This window comes from Homo sapiens, chromosome 18, assembly GCF_000001405.40.
Source record: "Homo sapiens chromosome 18, GRCh38.p14 Primary Assembly".
Taxonomy (NCBI): Eukaryota; Metazoa; Chordata; class Mammalia; order Primates; family Hominidae; genus Homo; species Homo sapiens.
The window spans coordinates 51,972,136-51,994,703 of NC_000018.10; the positions used below are offsets into that span (position 1 = coordinate 51,972,136).

The 22,568-nt window shown below is 38.2% G+C and overlaps 1 annotated feature.

Annotated features, from left to right (window-relative positions):
* Positions 16,122-16,623: an enhancer, noted in NCBI's record as "NANOG hESC enhancer chr18:49514627-49515128 (GRCh37/hg19 assembly coordinates)". NCBI's record gives its function as "activates a minimal SCP1, AML or CMV promoter by ChIP-STARR-seq in naive H9 embryonic stem cells {active_cell/tissue: H9 hESC(naive)}" and the evidence as "EXISTENCE:reporter gene assay evidence [ECO:0000049][PMID:30033119]".

A 22,568-nucleotide genomic window follows, 5' to 3' on the forward strand; every position in this document is an offset into this window, starting at 1 on the left:
ACTAGCAATATATGAAACTTTTGACTTCCTCCAATCCTCATGAAACATTTCATATTTTCTGTGTTGTTAATTCATTTTGAAAATGGAGACTGAGGAGCACTATCATAAGAAAAGCCTAGAGCACAAGCCTACTGACGCAGTGTTAACACAATATGCTTTTACTAAACCAAATACAATATTGCATCACTTGGCAAGGAAGGCTAAGGTATCAGTAGCACAGAGCATAACAAAAATTACCAAAATATAAACATTTCTGGTTTTAGCAGTGACATGCAAAGAGCTTGGAAGTTGTTGTTCCCATCCTTACAATAACAAAAAGCTGCAAAAACTGAAAAAAAAAAATCAATGTCTTCTCTTAGACCCATTGGAGAACTGAGATCACAGGGGAAGCTGTCATCCTGAAATCCTGAAATACAGATGAATCCAGACAGTCCCAGCTGAGATCTGTTTATCTGAAGACAAAGCCATTGGAGCTATAACCTAGTGAGAACATGTAAATAATTTTGATGAATAGCTAGGGGCTGAATGTGAAGTAACATAAGAGTAAGAAACTTCTGCAGCCCCCCTCCCACTGTCCTGGGTCCTCCTCCAGGAACCCTGCCAGGTTTCCGTGAGGAGGAACTGGAGAAAGGGATTCTTTTCAACTCCAGCTCCCCTCTAGCCTTCTTGGGTAGAGACTAGGTGAGACTGGGCTTTAAGGCAATAGGTCTACAGTACTGCCGGCAGAGAAAAGAGTAGGTATAAGGGTGAGGGAAAAAGCTATATCACTGAAGGAGGAATACTAACACATATGGTCACAGCCCTGAAACAGGCCTATTAAAAGACCGATTCTTGGCCAAAAGACTTCCCCAACTTCCACCCCTAACCACCACACCAATAAGGGTCCAATATAATATGCAATATAGCTGGAAGAGCTCCAAGATATAGACTGTCTCCAAGGAGAAAGGTATGGGAAAGCCCCAAGTTTAAGAAACACAAAAGCAAACACACTGGAACTTAAAGTCTGGTAAGTGTAATTACAACAAACAAACACAGACCAATTTCTACCTAGATTAAGATAGATCCTCACACTGAAGGCCTATTTACCTAATTTCCTGTCTTATACAATACGTCCAACTTTCAACAAAAAAAATTCAATCTATTCTAAAAGGCAAGAAAAAGCACAATCTGAAGAGATGAAGTAAGTATCAATCAAATTTAAGTATAACACAGATGTCGGAATGATATGACAGGAAATTTAAAATAATAATGTTAAGGGCTGTAATGGAAAGAGTAGACAACATGAAGAAACAGATGGGTAATAGGAGCAGAGAAATAAAAATTTCCAACCTAAGTAGAAATTCTAAGAATCAAAAGGAAATTCTAGGAATAAACACTAACAGAAATAAGGAGTGCCTTTGATGGACTCATTAGTACACCAGGCCAAGCTAGAATTAGTGGGCCTGAAGATAGGTCATTTGGAATTTGAAATTTAAAAAATTTTAAGAGTACCATATAATTATTTGTAATCATCAAAAACTGGAAGCAACCAAGATGTCCTCCAATAGATGAATAAACTTTTACATACCTTCAAAAGAATACCATAGAGAATGAATCTTAAATGTACACTGCAAAGTAAAATAAACCACTCTGAAAAGACAATATGTTGTATGATTATGATTATACGGAATTCTGGAAAAAGCTATGGAGATAGCAAAGAGATCAGTGGTTGTCAGAAGTGTGAGCAGGGAGGAGGATTGAGTAGATGGAAGCTTGGGATTTTGTTTAGGGTAGTGAAATGATTCTGTGATGCTGCAATGGTGGGTAAATAAAATTATGCATTTGTCAAAACCCATAGAACCTTACAGAACAAAAAATGAATCTTATTTTATGGAAATTTTAATTATCATTTAGGAAATTGAGTGATCTCAAGAAGGAATTCAGACTTTGACAAAATAACTATATTGCAAATATACTAAATAACTTAAGTATGTTGGGAAAACAGTGCTGATCTAAGTAACTTTGGAAATGAGTAGAGACTGTAAGACTTAAGGCAAAAAGAATCATATTTAACCTGGTTCTCTCATTGATAGTTATTTCTCATGGGTGCATGGGTTAGCAATTTTGAAATCACTATCCATGTATACTGGAATTGAATAATTAATTATATGGATGACAGAGGTAGGAAACAGATTTCTCACTGTTGAAGTGGAAACTCATGGATGAGCAATGGGAGAGAGCTAGAATAATATTTGTGGTAATGGATTAGAGATGAAGACATCAGTATGAACTCATATTTTGCTTAATACAGATACAAATGATTACATATATAAATATATATGGATATGCTTATATACAGGACTAGTTTACACATTTGCCACTGTCAGCTGAGGGGGCCTAGTAGTAATTGCACCCCAGTAGCAATGCACACACTGCCCAGATCTGTTTGCAGATGACATGGTCTTATATATAGAAAACCCTAAAGACTCCCTTGCAAAACGGCTAGAACTATTGAATAAATTCAGTAAAGTTGCAGGATAGAAAATTAACACATAAAATCATTTTTCATGTTTGTTGGCCATTTGTATATCTTTTTTAAGAATTGTCTATTCATGACCTTAGCCCATTTTTTAATGGGATTGTTTGGTATTTTCTGCTAATTTGTTTGAGTTCTTTGTAGATTCTGGATATTAGTCCTTTATTGGATGTATAGATTGTGAAGATTTTCTCCCACTCTGTGGGTTGCCTGTTTGCTGATCATTTCTTTTGCTGTGCAGAAATTTGTTAGTTTAATTAAGTCCTACCTATATATAATTGTTTTTGTTGCATTTGCTTCTGGGTTCTTGGTCATGAAGTCTTTGCCTAAACCAATTACTAGAAGGGGTTTTCCAATGTTATCTTCTAGAATTTTTATGGTTTCAGGTCTTAGATTTAAGTCTTGAGTTTATTTTTGTATAATGTGAGAGATGAGAATCCAGTTTCATTCCTCTACATGTGGCTTGCCAATTATCCCAGCACCATTTATTTAATAGGGTGTCCTTTTCCCACTTTATGGTTTTGTTTGCTTTGTCAAAGATCAGTTGGCTGTAAGTGTTTGGCTTTATTTCTGGATTCTCTATTCTGTTCCATTGGTCTATGTGCCCATTTGTATACCAGTACCATGCGAATAATCAGAGAGATGTAAATCAAAACCACAATGCAATACCACCTTACTCCTGCAAGAACGGCCATAATAAAAAAATCAAAAACTAATAGATGTTGGCATGGATGTGGTAAAAAGGGAACATGTTTAAACTGCTGGTGGGAATGTAAACTAATACAACAACTGTGAAAAACAGTGTGAAGATTCCTTAAAGAACTAAAAGTAGAACTACCATTTGATCCAGCAATCCCACCACTTGGTATCTACCCAGAGGAAAAGAAGTCATTATAGGAAAAAAGATACTTGCACACTCATGTTTAGGGCAGCACAATTCACAATTGCAAAAACATGGAACCAGCCCAAATGCCCATCAATCAATGAGCGAATAAATAAATTGTGGTATATATCTACTATAGAATACTATTGAGCCATAAAAAGGAGCAAAATAATGGCATTTTCAGCAACCTGGATGGAATTGGAGACCATTATTCTAAGTGATGTAATTCAGGAATTAAAAAATCAAACATTGTATGTTCTCACTCATAAGTGGGAGCTAAGCTATGAGGATGTAAAAGCATAAGAATGATATAATGGACTTTGGGGACTTGGGGGAAAGGGTGGGACAGGGATGAGAGATAAAAGACTGCAAATTGGGTACAGTGTATACTGCTCGGATGATGGGTGCATCAAAATCTCACAAATCACTGCTGAAGAGCTTACTCATGAAACCAAACACCACCTGTTCCCCCAAAACTCTGGAAATAAAAAAAGAGATAACATGTAAAATCAGTTGCATTTCTATACATTAACAATGAACTATCTGAAAAAGAAAAAGCACAATCCTATTTACAATAACATCAAAAACTATAAAATACTTAGGAATAAATTGAAGCAAGTAGGTAAAAGATCTGTATATGCAAAACAATAGGACATTGATGAAAGAAATTGAAGATGCAAATAAAGTTATCCTATGGGTATGGATTGGAAGAATTAGCCTTGATAAATTGTCCATAATACCCAAAGCAATTTGTAGATTTAATGTAATTCCTATCAAAACTCCAAAGGCATTTTTCACACAATTCATATGGAACTATAAAAGAATCTGAATTGCCAAAGCAATCTTGAGGAAAAAAAAGAACAAAGCTGAATGCATCACACTTCCTCATTTCAAACCATATGACAAAGCAGCTATAATCAGAACAATATGATATCAGCATAAAAACAGACATACAAACCAATGGAACAGAATCAAGAGCCCCAAACTAAACCCAGATATACATGTTCACCTAATATTTGACAAGGGTGCCAAGAATAAACAATGGGCAAAGTATAGTTTCTTCAATAAATATGGATATTCACATGCAAAATAATGAAATTGGACACCTATCTTACATCATTTACAAAAATTATCTAGAAATGGATTAAAGATTTGAATGTAAGAACTAAAATGGTAAAAACTCCTAGAAGAAAATGTAGGGAAAAAGCTTCTTGACATTGGTTTCGACAACAATTTTTTTGGATATGTCACCAAAAGCACAAGCAACAAAAGCAAAAATAAGTGGAACTACATCAAACTAAAAACTTCTGTACAGCAAAGAAAACAATCAACAAAATGAAAAGGTAACCTATGGAAGGGAAAAGTATTTGCAAACAATCTATCTGATAAGGGGTTAATATCAAGAATGCAGTCATGTGTTGCTTAAGGATGAGGATACGTTTTGAGAAGTGCATCCTTAGGTGATTTTGTTATTGTACGAAGTGTACTTACACAAACCTAGTTGGTGTAGCCTACTATACACATAGGCTATATGGTATGGCCTATTGCTCCCAAGCTACAAACATTTACAGCATGTTAATGTGTTGAATCCTGCAGGTGATTGTAACATAATGGTAGGCATTTGTGTATCCAAACATATCTTAATATAGAAATTGTACAGTAAAAACATGATAGTATAATAATCTTATGGAGCCATAATTTTATATTGGGTCTGTCATTGACTGAAATATCCTTATGCAGTGTATAACTGTATTTAAGAATTCATGTAATACAATAGCAAAAATCCAATCTGATTTAAAAATGAGCAAAGGACCTGAATAAACATTTTCCAAAAGAATACATACAAATGGCCAACAGGTACATCAAAAGGTGCTCAACATCACTAATCATCAGGCAATTGAAAATCAAAACCACAATGAAATAACATTTCACAACTTTAGGACTAACATACAGCATGGCAACTATAATTAACAAGATTGTATACTTAAAATTTGCTAAGAGTAGATCTTAAACGATCTCACCATACCAACTAAAAAAGTAACTGAGGTGGTAGATGTGTTAACTCACTTGATTGTTGTAATCATTTCACAATATACTTAAATCATACATTGTACACCTTACATTTATACAATTTTATATGTTAATCACACCTCAATAAAGCTGGGGGAAAGACATTACCACACACACACAAAGGGGAGCCTGAAGCATTGTGTAGAGCCAGAAAGTGCACAAAAAAACCAAATAACAACAATAAAAAAAAATCCTGCAATGACTGAGATATATTAAACAAGTAACACACACAGGAACCAACTGCAATATCTCACAGTGGCCAATGCTGGAAAACATTTGAGCAAAAAAGAAATATAATAGTAGCTAATTGTAACCAATAGTAGAAAATTATAATCCATAGTATAAAATAAATATCCAAGTCCATATTAATATAAATAAATGATTGAAGAAATAAATGTGGAAGAAGTGGTAAATTCCCTATGCAGAAAAATTTCAAATGATATATGTAGATACTCCATCCTTAAGGAGACATAGTAAAACTCTCACTCTTTAAATGTGGGATGTACATAGTGATTCTCTTCCAAGGATTAGAGTATATAAAGTGGGAGAAGAGGGTAACTCCATAGTGGAGAAACCAGATGAACACAACCTCAACTAGGTGATCAAGGCTCACATCAACTATAATAAGGCATATTGACAGTGTGTACTCCTCTTGTGCAGTAATGTGATAAGAATTGTACTTTACTTCTGTGGTGTTCCTCCCCAAAACTCATAACCTCAGGCTAATCATAAAAATACATCAGACAAATAGCAATTGCAGGACATTCTACAAAATACTGACCAATACTTTTCAAAATTGTCTAGGATATTAAAAACATCCAAAGTCTGAGAAACTGTCACAGCCAAGAGGAGGCTAAGGAGACACAATGACTATATTTAATATGAAAACCTGAGTGGGATACTGGAACAGAAAAAGGACATTAGGGAAAAACTAAGAAATTCTGAATGAAGTATTGATCCTAGTTAATGTATCAATATCAGTTCATTAATTGTGACAAATGTACCATAGTTTTGTAAAATGTTTACAATTGGGGAAGCAATGCGGATATATGAGAACTCTGTACTATCTTCACAACTTTTCAGTAAATCTAAAACTATTCTAAACTAAAACAATATATAACAAATATGTATTAGAAGAACTTTTCACCAACTTCCAAAACTGTGAGAAAGGCTCCCCAGAATCTCTTGTGTTTAAGGGAAAGAAATTATCATAATTTAAAGCAAACAGACAACCTAGAGAATGGAAGAAGATAGTCACAAACTATGCATCAGACAAAGCCCTAATATCTAGAATCTATAGGGAACTTAAATCAACAAATGAAAAACAAATAACCCTATTAAAAAATGGGCAAAGGACATGAACAGAAACCTCTCAAAAGAAGACATACATACATGCAGCCAGTAGCATATGAAAAAAATGCTCAACATCATTAATTATTAAAGAAGTGCAAATTAAAACCACAGTGTGATACCGTGTCACTCCAATCATCATGGCTATTATTAAAATGTCAAAAAGCAAATGCTGGTGAGGCTGCAGAGAAAAGGAGACACTTATACAATGTTGGTGGGAATGCAAATGAATCCAGACACTGTGGAAATTAGTCTATAGATTTCTCAAAGGGCTGCCGTTCGACCCAGAAAATCCCATTACTGGGTATATACCCAAAAGAAAATAAATCAGTCTACCAAAAAGACACAGCAATTTTATATTCACTGCTGTGCTATTCACAACAGTAAAGACAAGGAAGCAACCCAGGTGCCCATCAGTGGTAGATTAGATAAAGAAAATGTGGTGTGTATATACCATGGAAATCGTGCCACCAAAAGAAGAATGAAAGCATGTCATTTGCAGCAACATGGATGGAAATGGAGGCCATAATCCTAAGCAAATTAATGCAGGAACAGAAAGCCAAGTACTGCATGTTTTCACTTATAAGTGGGAGCTAAGCTGTGAGCACACACAGACATAAATACGAGAACAATAAATATTGTGGACTACTAGAGGGTGGAGGGCTGAATTTAAAAACTACCTATCAGGTACTATGCTCACTGCCAGGGTGACAGGATCCATACTACAAATCTCAGCATCTTGTAATATCTTCATGTAACAAAGCTGCACATGTACTCCCTGTATCTAGAATAAAAGTTGAAATTAAAAAAATACAGTGGAAAGAAAAGGTTGTAAATGTTCAGTTATGATCAGCCATACTTGGAAACATTGAGGAGAAGCTCATGGTCCATATAAGTCTGAACTTGAAATTTCTGGCTTTAAAGTCTTTCTCCAAGAAGCAGATACCTCTCTAGAGGTGGGCAAGAAAACTGGCTACCTGTCTATATAGCCATTCGGTGGAGCTTTTCTGCAGAGTGCTCCCCAAACCTTCTAACTGCTAGACTTATAAGGGCAGATGGCAGTAACTTGTAGCTTCAGGGCAAAGTCTCAGACAATCTTCTGAAAACAAGCACAAGATTTCTCTGAGGGTTTATCTTTTGTTTTAAAATATAAGAGAATTTTCCCTCCTACTCAGTAATGCCTGTAAATGTACACGTTTCTACCTAAAATCTTTGTATAAAGCAGATGCTACAGGAAGATATTCCTTGGCTTCAAACACCCTTGGCACATCGCTGTCTGTTCCCCTGAGAGGGCTCCTCCATTTCTAGTTTGAAAAGCAGAGGTGTCTGTGACATAGTAATTGGAATGAGAGGCATTTGTGTCACCAGAACTCAATGAGGGTTGCGGCACAGCTGAAATTCTGCCTCTTGCTTACCTCCTCCACACATCAGTTCCTCCACTGCCTTAATATTTTCTATTCAGGTTTCTTACAAGCAACAGGTTTCCCATTAGCCTGATCTTTATTTCTAGAGATTGTCTGACTCATCTATAAGGTCTTTAAGGGAAGGGGCTGTGTCTTGTTCATTCTATTCCTTGTACCAATGATTATCCTTTAAAAATCATAGACAAAGAAAACTTGCTCCTTTATTGACTGTTGAATGGTTGCAAGCGTAAGGGCTTCCAGCCTGCAGAATTTTAGCAGAGACAATTGCTTTGTGCTTCAGTCCTCTTCCCAATTCTGTTCTTGGCTCACTGTTTGAAATCCTCCCTGGAAGGTCCACTTATATTTGCAATTACACTTGTAATCACTGCTTTCTAAATTATTTCTCATCAAGTTGAGCTACCAGGATTTCAAAAATATCAGTTCAAAAAATTGTAAAAACCATCTTAAAAAAACTCTTTGGAGCAAGACAGCAACAAAACTTGATCACTTGGCAAAGGTGATCTGGGAAGCTTGCATGCAGAAAAGAAAGAAAATAATGGCTATGGCTGGAGACAACATCACAATGAACAAATGGGGGTGATTACTCTTACCCTAAGAAGACCTGAGTGGGACTGTGATTCTAGGAGGCAACAGGCAGAGATAGGTGGCATGGTCTAGCATGTTCATCTGCAAACTCCCTTGCCAGTTCTGTCAAGTGGATCTAAGAGCCCTCAACATTAGACAACATCCATCGGATCTTGGGAAAGTGGCCCTGGTTGGGCTGATGAGAGCAGCCTGGGTCCTGTATTAGAGGACTGCAAAGACAGGGGCAAGGGAGAGTGTCTACTGCATCTGGGTAACTGGCCTGTGCTTGACAGTTGGTGAGAATTACCTTGATGATCACAGAAATGAAAATTATAGAACTGTTCACTGGGCCACTTTATTCACTCTGGTTGTTTTGACTCTAGAAGGAAAGAACCAAGCTTTCCTAGACAAAACTATCATGGATCCCACTTTTAGGTGATAAAACGGAGTACATAGTAGTCTTTAGATACATGCTGTGTGAAATGAAACCCAAAGTAAAACCATTTGAGATCACCTGTTTCTTGTTCACCGGATGCTTCTGTGAGATCTACATCAGTTAAATGCATGCTTTATTATGAGTCCGAATCATATCCTCTCTCCAAATTCAATTACAGGCACCAGGAAGGGAAGTTGGAGCATCCAAGTGTAGTCAGTTCCAATAGACTCCCCACTGCTTTGCGCTTACTTGCTCAGTACTGAGGAGACAGACATTTGGCTAGAGAGAGTTTAACTTAGGACCCAGGAATCTGTTAACTTCTAAACAGCCAGAGGAGAAGCGGCCCAAAGAATGTGACTGGAAGTTTGTGACTGCTTCTTCTTACTCAGGGCATCTTTTGTCTAAAGCAGGTTTATAATAAGCCTATCCATGAAGAAAGGCAATTATAGGCATTGCACCTATATTTTATAATGCAAATTGGATAGAACACAATAGATTAATTAGAGAACATGGTATGGATTTGCATTATGCAGACAGCAATTGCTTATAATGTGATCGAGTTCAGGAACTAGCACTTTGGGAGCAGGAAAAAAAGACCTGTTGGCAGGATGCATAAACACACACCTTACCAGTGTCTGAGGCACTGGCTGCTCAGTTGGTCTACAGTTCATTTTCTTCCCTGAGGCAAAGATCCTGGGGGTCTGGAGGTGTGCTGAGCTGGGGAGAACACAGTTGGTGGGCGGGGCTCTATATTTATAGGTTATTGAAGAGAACTACACTGTGGGCTTAAATAAGCTCTTCTAGACACTCATAATTCTCTTTCAGGTGTTCAGAATTTTGAACTTAATTTCTATTATGTTGTATATAACTTGCAGGAATTCCAAGACTCCAGCATCCAGGGGCTTTGCAAATTGATCAAGAACCAAAACTTACACCTGTCCAGTGTCTCAGAGAGACAGCAGGGGTTAAGCAGGTGGTACTAACAAGTACATCAGCAAAAATTTCAACACAAGTTCTTCCCCTCTCTCAAATTTCCAACTTCCTTCACCAAGGAAATACAAGTGCAATTCCCACTAAGAATGATTCTTAAAAGTCTTTGTCCTTTTATAGTTCCTAGAGGGCACTATAAAAATTCTTAACTTTCTAAAAATAAATTGATATTTGTAGAGAAGGGAGTGGGCTCTCAAATCTCTTCAGAAATGTACGCAATTGTGCAGCATACAGTCATATACGGTCACCTTAAGGTATAGTGTGTCAAGTAAACAAGATTAATGACATATATTCATCTAACTGGCTAGCATTTCTATTACTAGTTCAGTGGTGGGCACCAAATTAATGCAAAACATAAACAGATCATAGTCTGATCTGTTCTTTCTTCTGAGAATTAGGAGACATATTTACTTATTCATTCATATGGTCCTACATTGGGGATGGAGATGTAGGAATGGTTGTGAGTGGCTGGGAAAGCCATCAGTGTGGATGAGCTCTAGAGTGCAGGTGACTGAGTACAGGGTCCTGGGCAACACTGGCATTTAAAGGCCAAATGGAGGAAGAGAAGCCTATGAATGAAATGCTAAAGGAGCAGCCAGACAGGTATAAGTAAAACTAGAGAATAATAATATTCCAAAAGTGAAAAGAAGAGGGAGTCCCATGAAGGGGATGATGAAACCTATTCAATACCACTAGGGTCGTGTGGTCTGTGTTTCTCTAAGAAGATTCTGAAGCACAGCCTGAACCAAGGGAGTTTACTTTGGGAAGTACTGCTATGGAAGGAGGAGAACCAACATGGGGGATACTGTCTAGCTGTCCCTCAGTGGGCAGCTGGAGCTAGACTTCTCTAAGGCTTCTGAGGAATTTTGAAGAATATGCCTCTGAATTGACTGCTTGAGGGTTGGCAATGGGAAGTATTTCCCCACCAGCTCCAGTTCTCCATTGCTCAAGATTTGCCCCGTGGGATGGAACTCCATGTTTCTCTAGATTCATGCATTGTTGTTCCCAAATGCTCTGTGAGAGTTAGAGAATCTCAGGACAGAAGATGATAGATCCATAGTGTAATTGAAGCAATGCTCTTCAGATGCTTTCAGTTTTTACCTGCCTGGAACTGATGGGCACAGCCGCATAAAGCCTTGGCACAGAAGATATGAAGCAGGGCACAAGAGGTGTTCAATGCAGAGGTGATATAAAAATTGAAATAATTTGGTAGAAAGTAGCAAACTAGTTTGAGCAATGCAGGAACATTTTTAGCTCCAATAACCTAGCAGTTTAAGACTTACCAGATTTAGATGTAGCTGGTTGCAGAGATTCAACTGATATCTTCAGATTCCTTAAATCTTCTCTCGGTTTAATTTCCTTTGTGTTGCCTTCATACTCAGAAAGATCTCTGCAGAGTAGAAAAATGGTGCCAGGAAGTTCTAGGTTATATAGTAGTTACAGGAAACAATTTCAGAAGACAAGTATCTTAGTCTGTTTTGTACTGCTATAATAGAATACCTGATACTGGATAATTTATAGCGAACACAAATTTATTAGTTCACAGTTCTGGAGGCTGGGAAGTTCAATATCAAGGTGCCAGCAACTAGTGGGGGCCTCTTGCTGTGTTATCACATGGTGGAAGTCAAGAGAACAAGAGGGAGGGAAAGAGGAGACTAAACTTACTCTTATATAATTGTAACCACTCCCACCCATGAGGGTGGAGCCTTCATGGCCTAATCACCTCTTAAAAGTCTCACCTCTAATACTGTTATAATGGCAGTTTTCAACTTGAGTTTTGGAGGAGACAAACATTCAAACCATAGCAATAAAGTCCACTCTCTCCTTCATTATGAATATCAATCCCTTTAAAATAACCGGTTAGTCCCATTGGGCTATATGCCCATTTAAGGTCTAGTTGCCATGCCCAGGGTGATGGGGTATTTTGATTAGCCAGCCCATGCTATGTGCCTTCACTGTGGCTTTCAACTAAGCAAGAATCCTTAATTGGCAGACCCAACAGAAGCACATGGACCCATGAAGGGATGGTTTCAAAGTAAAGAAGTTGGGGAGACTGTAGAGGAAGCAGAAAAAATATAACAGACATCCTGTATATAAAGAATGGAAGGGAGAGTGTTCAGGCGACTGCTAATATGGAGTTCCTAGTGACTTGAGTTCTAGTCCTATTTCTGCTACTTACCATTGAGAGACATTGAGTGACTTCCCTGAATCTCAGGTTCTGTATTAGTCTGTTCTCGCATTGCTATATGCCTGAGATTAGGTAATTTATTAAGAAAAGAGGTTTAATTGGCTCTCAGTCCCACAGGCTGTGTGAGAATCTTGGCTGGGGTGGCCTCAGGAAACTTTCAATCACTTCTGAAGGCAAAGGGGAAGCAGGGAGGTCTTACATGGTCAGAGCAGGAGCAAGAGACAGGGCGGGGAGATGTTACATACTTTTAAACAACCAGATTTCAAGATAACTCACTCTCACCATGACAACACCAAGGGGGATGGTGTTAATCCCTGAGAAACTGTCCCCATGATCCAATTACCTCCCACCAGGTCCACCTCCAACATTGGAAATTACAATTTGACATAAGATTTGGGTGGAGACACAGATAGAGCCAAACCATATCACCTTCTAATATAAAACGAAAGTGAGACCAATTAAATTATTTCTTTTTTAAAAAAGAAATTAAAATTTTATTGAAGAATTTTTAATATTAACTACATAAAATTATCCAAGTCCAGGTCTCAGACTTGCCACAATTAGCATTCTTGTAGATGTTATAGTCATTAGAAGGTCCTCGCATCTCTGAGACACATGCTGTGCTCATTGGTGAACTCGGCTTCAAAACTACCACAAACCCAGGCAATGTTGTCAGCCATAACTCTCCCTCAGCATCAGTTCACCTTATCCCATTTATGTTTCAAAAACAAGATAATATTATCCAGCATTCAGAACATTGACAAGGGATAATATCAGCATCATTTCACTTAAGACATTTAAGCAATTTAAGTAACCCAGAAATCAAACTCACTTTAAGTCTTTCAACATATGTCTATGTCCCTTGAATGCAAGAAGCATCCATGCATTATTTGCTGTTATTGCTCTTATGAATGCTCTCATCAAAGCCATGGGTTTGAGAGATACATACAGACACATTTTTTAAAATTGTCTTTTGCACCACCGAGTCTCTGCATGTACTCTCTGCTTTTTCTCACCCATACAGCATTGATGTCAGTACCATCATCAATCCCACCAAAGGTTTCAAATGTTCAAACACCTTCTGTTTCCATATCACAGCCTTGCATTTAGTGTTGATATGACTCTGTGAAATAACAAGTGATAGGTAAAAATGGAACACCCACTGTCAAAGATGCAGCAAATGCAGTTTGATGACATATTCTTTTTTTTTTTTTTGAGACGGAGTCTCGCTCTGTCGCCTAGGTCGGACTGCGGACTGCAGTGGCGCAATCTCGGCTCACTGCAAGCTCCGCTTCCTGGGTTCACGCCATTCTCCTGCCTCAGCCTCCCGAGTAGCTGGGACTACAGGCGCCCGCCACCAGGCCCGGCTAATTTTTTGTATTTTTAGTAGAGACGGGGTTTCACCTTGTTAGCCAGGATGGTCTCGATCTCCTGACCTCATGATCCACCCGCCTCGGCCTGATGACATATTCTTAAATGCGAAAGTATGTAGACATAAGGAATTCCATGGTAGAATATTTCCAACCCCCTGAAGTGCTGCTTCTATAGAATTTGAAATAAGATAAACTAGAGAGATTAAATGGAGACTTTATATTACACTATATGATATAAAGAGAGACAATGTTAAAAAATAAGCAAAAAAAAGCTGTATACCATTACTTCAAAGAAAGAATTTTCTAAGGAAAAAATCATATAGAAGTTAATCAAAACCAAGAAGAATGAATACAACCCTAATAGGTTCTATTTTAAACATAAAAATAATTTACTTGAACATTCAGAGATCAAACTGTGCTGGCAGAAACCTTTTGATATCAATTGTACTGTATTGGTTTGCCTCTCTGCAGACAATAGTTCACTTATAATCACTTAATATTTAACATTTTTGGAAACATAACATCATTATTCTTTTAATTCTCCTTATCTAAAAATAATGTCCAAAATGTTAATGAATATACTTCATATTGAACACACTAATTTTGAAAATGTTAGTGGAAAAGTGTTTTTATAATATCTTACTATTTGCTTAGAAAACCTTAAATTTTCACATGTCTGTTCCAGCCAGAGCCCTGGTCTCACTTCCTGGGCCAGAAGCATTGGAACCCATGTTCTGACTGATGTCTGCTATAAACTGTTGCTTGCTTTTATTATGATGCCATCTGGTCATCAGACTCAGAAGTGGGGAGTAGCCAAGGTGGGGAGGCATTAAAAAAGACAAAGAAAGAAATATAGCAGACACCAGAGCAGGAGAATAGCAGCCATACAGGTACCTCTCACCGTACAGTAACCCCCAAGGACTGCCTGTCCTTAATAAGAGAAAAGCACCTTCTGCTACCTTCCTCTGGTAAAGGGGTGCAATTTCACCAAGACAGGGAATTTGCATTCATTTCTCCTATGGATATATCATAGCCTAAGTCATTAACATTTCAAGGTTTTCCAGTTTTGGCAGAGAAGCATTGAGTTACCTTAAATCCATAAGCAGCCAAGGGCAATTCTTGATTCATCGGAATTCATTCACTCAATTTTTATTGTATGCGGATTTTGTGCAAGGCATATCCAAAAATCCTTCAGGGATACAAAGATGAGTAATTTGTGATTGCTACCTCAAGAAGTTTAGTATCTAGCTTGGGAGATGAAATATGTTCCAAATATGTAAGTGTTGAGTAAATGTTGAATAACACAGAACTATAAAACAGTAGAAAATAATTCCACAAAAGAAATATGCTTTAAAGTCATACAAAGCAAAACTTAATTCTTGCCATCAAGGAGAACAGTGAAGAATGGGCAGGGTTCCTTTGAACCAGTGGCATTTCATGCATTTGATTTCTTGAACATTTACTTGGTGAGGGCCAACCAGGCACCTTGCTCGGCATTTAAGCTGGACCTTGAGAAAGGCTATGAGTTTGAACCTACAGAAAATGAGACTTGGGGCTTTGGAGAATGGTAATTGGTGGCATGTTGGAGCTAGCTCTTAGTGGCTCATGAGAGCCAGTTGTTAAATGTCCAGGGATTTTGTGAGCAGGTTGACCTCTCCTTGGTTGAATTGTTCTTTAGGGAGTTTACCATGGAAATCATCAAATGCTACAATTCAGAATGCCCCTTCCACCCCACCCAGAGCCATTTCTTAATCTGTCCTGGATGTGTTCCAGGCAAAGAGAATAAACAACAATCCACTAATTAGTCATTTGATCTCCAGCAATCCCTTCACTAGTCCATAGCTTTTTCTCCTCTGTAAGGGAGTCTGATGCTGCGGAAGTTGACAGAATCAAAATACAGTCACTAATGTGGAGAAAACCTTGACAAATACAACCAGTCAAAGACATAAAGAGAGGCTTCTCAGGCTTGTATACCTGATAATGGAAACAATTACAAAAGACTCTACAAAAAACACAACTTTTGCACAAAGGGCATTGCAACTTATACAAATAACTCTATCTGTGAGGACATCTACCCAGCATTTGCCTGTCTAAACTTGGACTGGCATTACTGTTATTATTGATCTTTGTAGCAAAACATAATTATTTCAAAACAATTATGTAATCATCTTCAGTTTTCTTTTAGAGACCTTTGCATTTTTTTTATCTCCCTGAATATAAACATAGTTTACTGTGGTATGTGTTATTTTCATTGCAATGCTGTATTCCCAAATAAATTTCTTTTAGAGGGTCTCTCTCTGCTTGTTATTTAAGTAGACAATACTTAAGGTTTTCCTAACTCGAACATTTTATTATCTATAGAAGGGAAAGTGGAAAATCAAGTGAAACCCAATGATGAAAGGGTTAGGGAGGATCAGGGCACTTCTCCAGCCTGCCTGCTTAGTGCTGGGCAGGTGCTCCCAGAGAAGTGCTAATAAGCTTCGATCTCCAGGCTGTAATGAGGGGCTGCGGAGGCTCTCCATGGGAGTGCTGTTTTTCCTGTTATGAGGTCTTCTAAAGTGGCTGAATAGAGCCCAGAGAGGGAAAAATTTGAATCCCTCTCCTTGTTTCCCCCTTCTTTGGTCTCTGTGGGAACCCAGGGCAAGTCATTTAACCTCTCAGTGCCTGGTAGTCTTCACCTGCAAATTAGGCTCCCTCTCTTCACCTCTGGCCTCTGCTAAAATAATGTTTAAAGAATCTGCAGGCCAAGCTCAGGTCTCAGCAAGCAAAGTGTTGCTAATGTATAAAGCACTGTTGTCATTATTTGCCCAGGAGGGGAAGAAGGCCTTAAAGATTTAGCCAACACATGTAACAGCATCAAGTAGCCCAGTCTTAATTGTATCTGGATAGAGAGATGATGGATGCTATTTTGGTCCCACTGACATTTTCTACTAGTCCCTCCCAAGGGCCCTTGCCTGTCTCTCTTTTTGAACCATTATACCTAGATTCTTCTTGTTTTGTCCAGTGAACAAAAGCAGGAAAGTGTGTGATGGGGATGTGAGGAACTGTGGAGTGGAATGAGTTTCCTTCCCTCTTCACTAACATTCACTAGAGCTTTCATGAATGATGATGTTCTTGCTCCACCACTCATGGCTTCCATTCCTCCGTCAAGTTTCTGAGCGATACAAGTGAATTCCGATTCCTTGGAATGGCCTCAAATTCCTTCACCAAAGAAACCTGTCTGCTACAGATGAGTAGTCTGTGCATTCATGAAACTGGCAACTGTGACATTTGGAAAAGATTAGAGAGACAGTTAGTGTTTAGTCCAAATGTTAGCTCTGCCATTTGCTGAGTGATATGGGTCAGGTCATCTCCATCTTCCTGCACTTGAATTTTTTTTTTTTTTTTTTTTTTAATCAGTAAAGAGAGTCTATGTCAACCCTGGTTCGTGCTCCTTTTCCACAGGCATGTTTCTGACCTTCCCCTTCTCTGTTTCACCTTGTAGAGGTCCACCCCCGATCCCACAGGTGGGAAATTCCCAGGTGGTCTGGTCAGCTGCCTTCTAACTGGAATTGGCTTCCAGGAGGAGCCTGGGAGGAGACAGGAGCATGTGTGGAAAGGAGAAGCAAGGAGGCTCCTCTTCCTGTCCCTTTCTAAGGGGCTATCTCCAGAGTAGCTGAGCCTCCTCTGTGATTTAATTACCCTAGAAGATGTGACCCTGGCTCCCAGATCCTCTAAGCCCACTTCTCCCATTTTGTCCTCCGTTAAATTTCTGCTTTGGGTAATATTTGTGCTGGTTTCATTTCCTACTTTACACGTCCTTTGTTATAAATATTGGAAGCACTGTGTTTCCCTGGCTAGATCCTGATTGATACAGAGTTGATGATGTAGCTTTTGTAAGAGGATGTTGTGAGATTTAAAGAAAGTCCTACGCAATTTCTTACTAGTGTAAATGCTAAATAAATGTCCACCAAATCCTGTTATCAACTTGATTTTTTTTTTGCTTCCCAACATCACCATTGTTTTGCCCCTTGATATTCTAAAAATTCTGCAAAACTCAATGCAGATGTTACTTACTTCATGAAGCTTTGTTCATCCTTAACCAAATAAGATTTTTTAAAATTTTTCTCCCGTAGCAGTTTATATATGCATCTCTTGTAGAATTTGGCATATTCTGCCAAGAGTTTAATTATTTATAAATGTACCTTTTCCTGCTAATCTGTAAGGTTCTGGCTGTCCCTCTAATTTTTGTACCTTTCTCAAACTCACAGCACCAGAAAAGGTGTTTTAAAATATTCGCTGAACTGAATGGAACAGAAATACCCTACTTGGTACTTTTCTCTGCAACTTGATTCCTGTAGTCTGAGGGGTGTTATGGCAGACACCAAGAATGATTCTCCTAATCAGATGTTGGATGCATTCTTGATCTATTAAAAACATTAGTTTTTTGAAGAGTGCAACTGCCCCATACTTTCCTGGGTTTTCATTTTATATCAGGTGTTACCCATCAGGTATTACGTCTATGCTAAATTCACTAGATGCCTCATACTAAACACATTCATCTCAAGATTCAAGGAATGTAAAAAAAAAACTGTTTTTATAAGTGAATAGAAAATCAGATGTTCGGTTTGTGTTATGTGAGCCTCATGAGCATATATATGAAATCATATATCTAGTGTCTAGAATTGTGCCCATCATATTCTAGGTGCTCAACAAATATTTATTAAATGCCTGAATAAATGTGTATTTTGGATGAAGCCTTTACAGAATATTATATGTTAGTCATTATCCTTCAGAAATCATTCTCTGTGAATTCCAAGTTAATTTTTTCTCTTTTTTTGTAATCTTCTTTATTATTTATTTTTAATTTGAGAGGAAACTCACCCTCAGGCTATCTCTTCTATTTTTCTTCGCTGTTCAAATATGTTACCCATTATTTGGCCTTGAAAAAGCTTCCTCAAAATGTGATGTGGTTCTGCTTGTTCTTGAGGCTTAATAGTAGGAAAAAGGCTAATGGAAGACACCTGTGCACTGGAATGAAGACAATTCCTTGTCTTTTTCTCCCTGCTCCCTTACCTCCAGCACCCTCCTACAAACTAACCTGAAGTTTGTCTGGTCTGGGTGGAGGGAGCTGAGGGTGACTGATTAGAGAACATCATAAATGAAAGAGATTCTAGAGTTTAGTAAAAAAAAAAAAAAAAAAAAAAATCCCTTAATAGCAGATTAGTAGACTGAGACCAAGGGTGAATGGAGCCCCCCAAACTCACAGAAGTTAACGTATGTCTTAGTCAGCTTGGACTACTGTAACAAAATACCACAGACTGGGTGGCTTAAACAACAGACATTTACTTCTCACAGTTCTGGAAGCTGGGAAGTCCAAGATCAAGGCTCAGGCAGATTTGGTTCTTGGCAAGGGCCCACTTCTTGGTCTGCAGACAGCTGTCTTCTCATGGCATATTTGCATGGCCCTCCTCGTTGCATGTGCAAGGAGGAAGACAGGGAGAGAAAGAGAGAGAGGATTATCTTTTCATTTTCTTATAAAATCATTAATTCCATCATGGGGGCCCCACCCAAAGGCCTCACCTCTTAATACCATCACATTGGGGGTTAGTGCTTCCACAGATGAATTTGAAGGGACGTAAACATTCAGCCCCTAATAACAGAAGAGCCATAATTTTAGGTTTCCTGATTCCCAGTAAAATAGCAAACAGTGGCTATAATTCAATATCACCCCTGGCCAAATATGACCTTCAGGAATTGCCTTTCTAAGCTATCTTGCTCTAGCCCCAGCACACCAGCTAATTAAATACACAGATTCTTTGTTACTGTCTAGATATAGGGGCCACTGTAGTTTTTCTTACTCTGACTCTTCCAGCTTTTAAAATGTCTTGTTCTCATAGAGAAAATTTACCCTAAAAATAAAGGGTTCTCTTAACTTACAAAGTATTTTCTTCTAACCTCTCCAAGCTTTAGAAGATTGAGTTAAATTTCCCTGGAGATGCAGGCCAGGCTTCTGTCAGCTGGTTTCATCTTCCCTAGGGTCTCTGAGCCAAGGTTCCTTCCATGGACTGTTCCTTTCCATTGAGCATTCTTGCCAAGATTTATGATATAGTAAAGTGAAAAAGAGCCACGTCAACTGTCCTGTGAAGGAAAATGAGATTCTGCTCAATTTAAGGGGAGTTTAAATGAATAAAAAAGATCAGCATGTTAAATACTATGAAGTAGGATAATAGATTAATTTTAGAAAATTCAGGAGTCATCCTAATTACAGGTATAACTGAGTAGAAAGCTGGATAAGTCCCACATAGTTCTTTCATAGGCCATGACATAATTAAATGACTGTTCATTTTATAGATAAGATATATCTTTGACGTAGACATTGTATATTGGGAAATCATCCACTCTGGGCCCTTAACCTGATGTAGACTCATTCTTAGCTAGAAAGAGCCAAGAATATTCAGGCAGGCATGAATTCTCTGAGAAAAACCATGAGCTTTGGAAACGAAAATTGTTTCTCCACTTAAAAATAACAGTTCATGGATGCTGATGTGTACAAGCAACCAGTAGCTCCTCTGGAAGGACTTCACCACCCCAACCCTGGTACAGGGTGGTGAAGTCAAGCAACGGATTGGGAGGGTTTAGCCCCACCCTTATAATAGGCATCTTTTCAACCCTAAACCCACTTCTGTGATATGGCTGATTGTTGACACTTTCTCAGTTTTATGGACTATTCCCCTAGTGCTTCCCTTCATTCCATATTGTCAAGCCCTTGAGGAAATCCTGGTGCCATTATAGAAGGTCTTTATACAATTTAAATCAGTGCATATGACATAAAGCACTACACATTGTGTATTGTATACTCTCAGCTGAATGGCTTCTCTTAGATGTCCCACGGACCTCTCTCAATCTTCCCTTTTCTTGGCTCACTCTGCCCCATCACTCAGCTCCATACAATATATCATCATTGACCCCTCTTTCCTTGACTTCCACATCCAACCTGTTATCAAATCCTGTGTATTCTCTCTTGGCACTGTTTCTCATAAGCCTTCTCCATCCTGATTTCTATCAGTGCCACCTTAGTATTTATCCACTACTTTTTAAAGTGTGTTTTTCTCTCCTCCAGCATTTCCTTCCCATTCTATCCCACAAATTTTTTCCGAATTATTCTTTCTGAATGATTCAACCAACATTCCCTAAACCTGTATTATATCCCCAGGGCTAAATGATCAAAGATGAAAAAATAATGTGCCTTTACTTCAAGGAACTCAGGCTAGCATAAGACAGAGACACACACACAGACAGTGGAGGGTAGGGGTGAAGCATGGAGGCTCAATTCCAATGCTGGCTCTGACTTTTCCCAGCCATGTGACCCTGTGTAATTTAAGTGTGCCATGCCTGCAAAATAGGGAAAATAGTTTCTATCTTATAGGTTTACAGGAAGGATGGAATGAGATAATCCATGGAAAGCATTTATAATAGTTCTTCACACATAATACATAATAAACACTAGTTCTTATCATAAAGCAGTGCTCCTCAAACTCTCTGTGGTAAAGGACCATTTTGTAGTTGGTTTTCTTATTGAATGTCTAATGCATCATGAACTGATTTATGGCCCTACTATGCTTGACTTGTATGCAGCTCACACAACATGTAACTCAATGCTTGAGTTTGACAACAACCAAACACCTCCACACCCTGTTTAATGAGACAGGTTCATTGCTCACTCACTTGGATGTCAGGGCAGTCACATTGTGAACCTATAACACACAGTTCATTGGTCAGACCAAGCCCTGAACCACAGGGATTCAGGAACACAAGAATAAAATACAGCTGTGGTTGTTTTCACTTTCTTGCTCATGAGTGTCTCCGCATGAGCCATGCAAAGTACTTAATGTGATATTTTGGAGTCTTCACACTTAGGCCACATCCCAATCCCATCTTTCAAGCCTATGTCTCATGATTCCTCTTTGCAAACTTGAGGCTCTAGAACAGTACTTTCAAACAGCTTCAGGAATAGGGATAGGGTGGAGGATAATTTACCCTCTTACATTTTTTTAAGAAAACTCCTGATTATCTGACATCATCTTTCTGATGATGCTTGCTGATTATTATTTGTCTTTCCTCAGGAAACTAGTCTGCCTACATCCCTGATGCCTAGAGCAGTACCTGGCATATAACAAGTGTTCAATAATATCTATTGAATGAATAAGTGAGTAATAAAAAGATTGTGCTGTTAAACACATTTAAAATTTAATCTACTTGGCACATTATTCACATTAAAATCTGGAATATCTTGCTTTTAACACAAAGCATTTTTTCCATCTCTTCTTGCCCAGAGTGATTTTTTTCCCCATCCATTTTTCCTTTTATTAAATTTTTGGTTACTGTTAATCCACTAAAACTCAATTGAATAATTTCCTCCAACACAGCCTCCAAGAAGCCTTCTCCTGACTTTTCATTATACTGTATGTTATCTCTATTACAGCACTTCTAACATGCTTTATTATTTATGTTGTATGCCCTTTTGTAAATTATAAGGTCACAGAGAACAAGAGCCTGGCATAATTCATATTTGCATTTTTAAAAGTGTTTAACACAGTGTCTAATAGGTAATAAGAACCTTGTGCTGAATTATGTGGCGTATATCTGAATTTCCCAAGATCTATTTATGTCTCAAGAACCAGTTCAAGTTCTTCCTTCCTAGAGTTTTCCTGAATATTTTCACCTGCAGCAATATATCTGTTCTTTATCCTTACAGCCTTATTGATATTTAGCTTTTAATTAGCATTTTAAAAT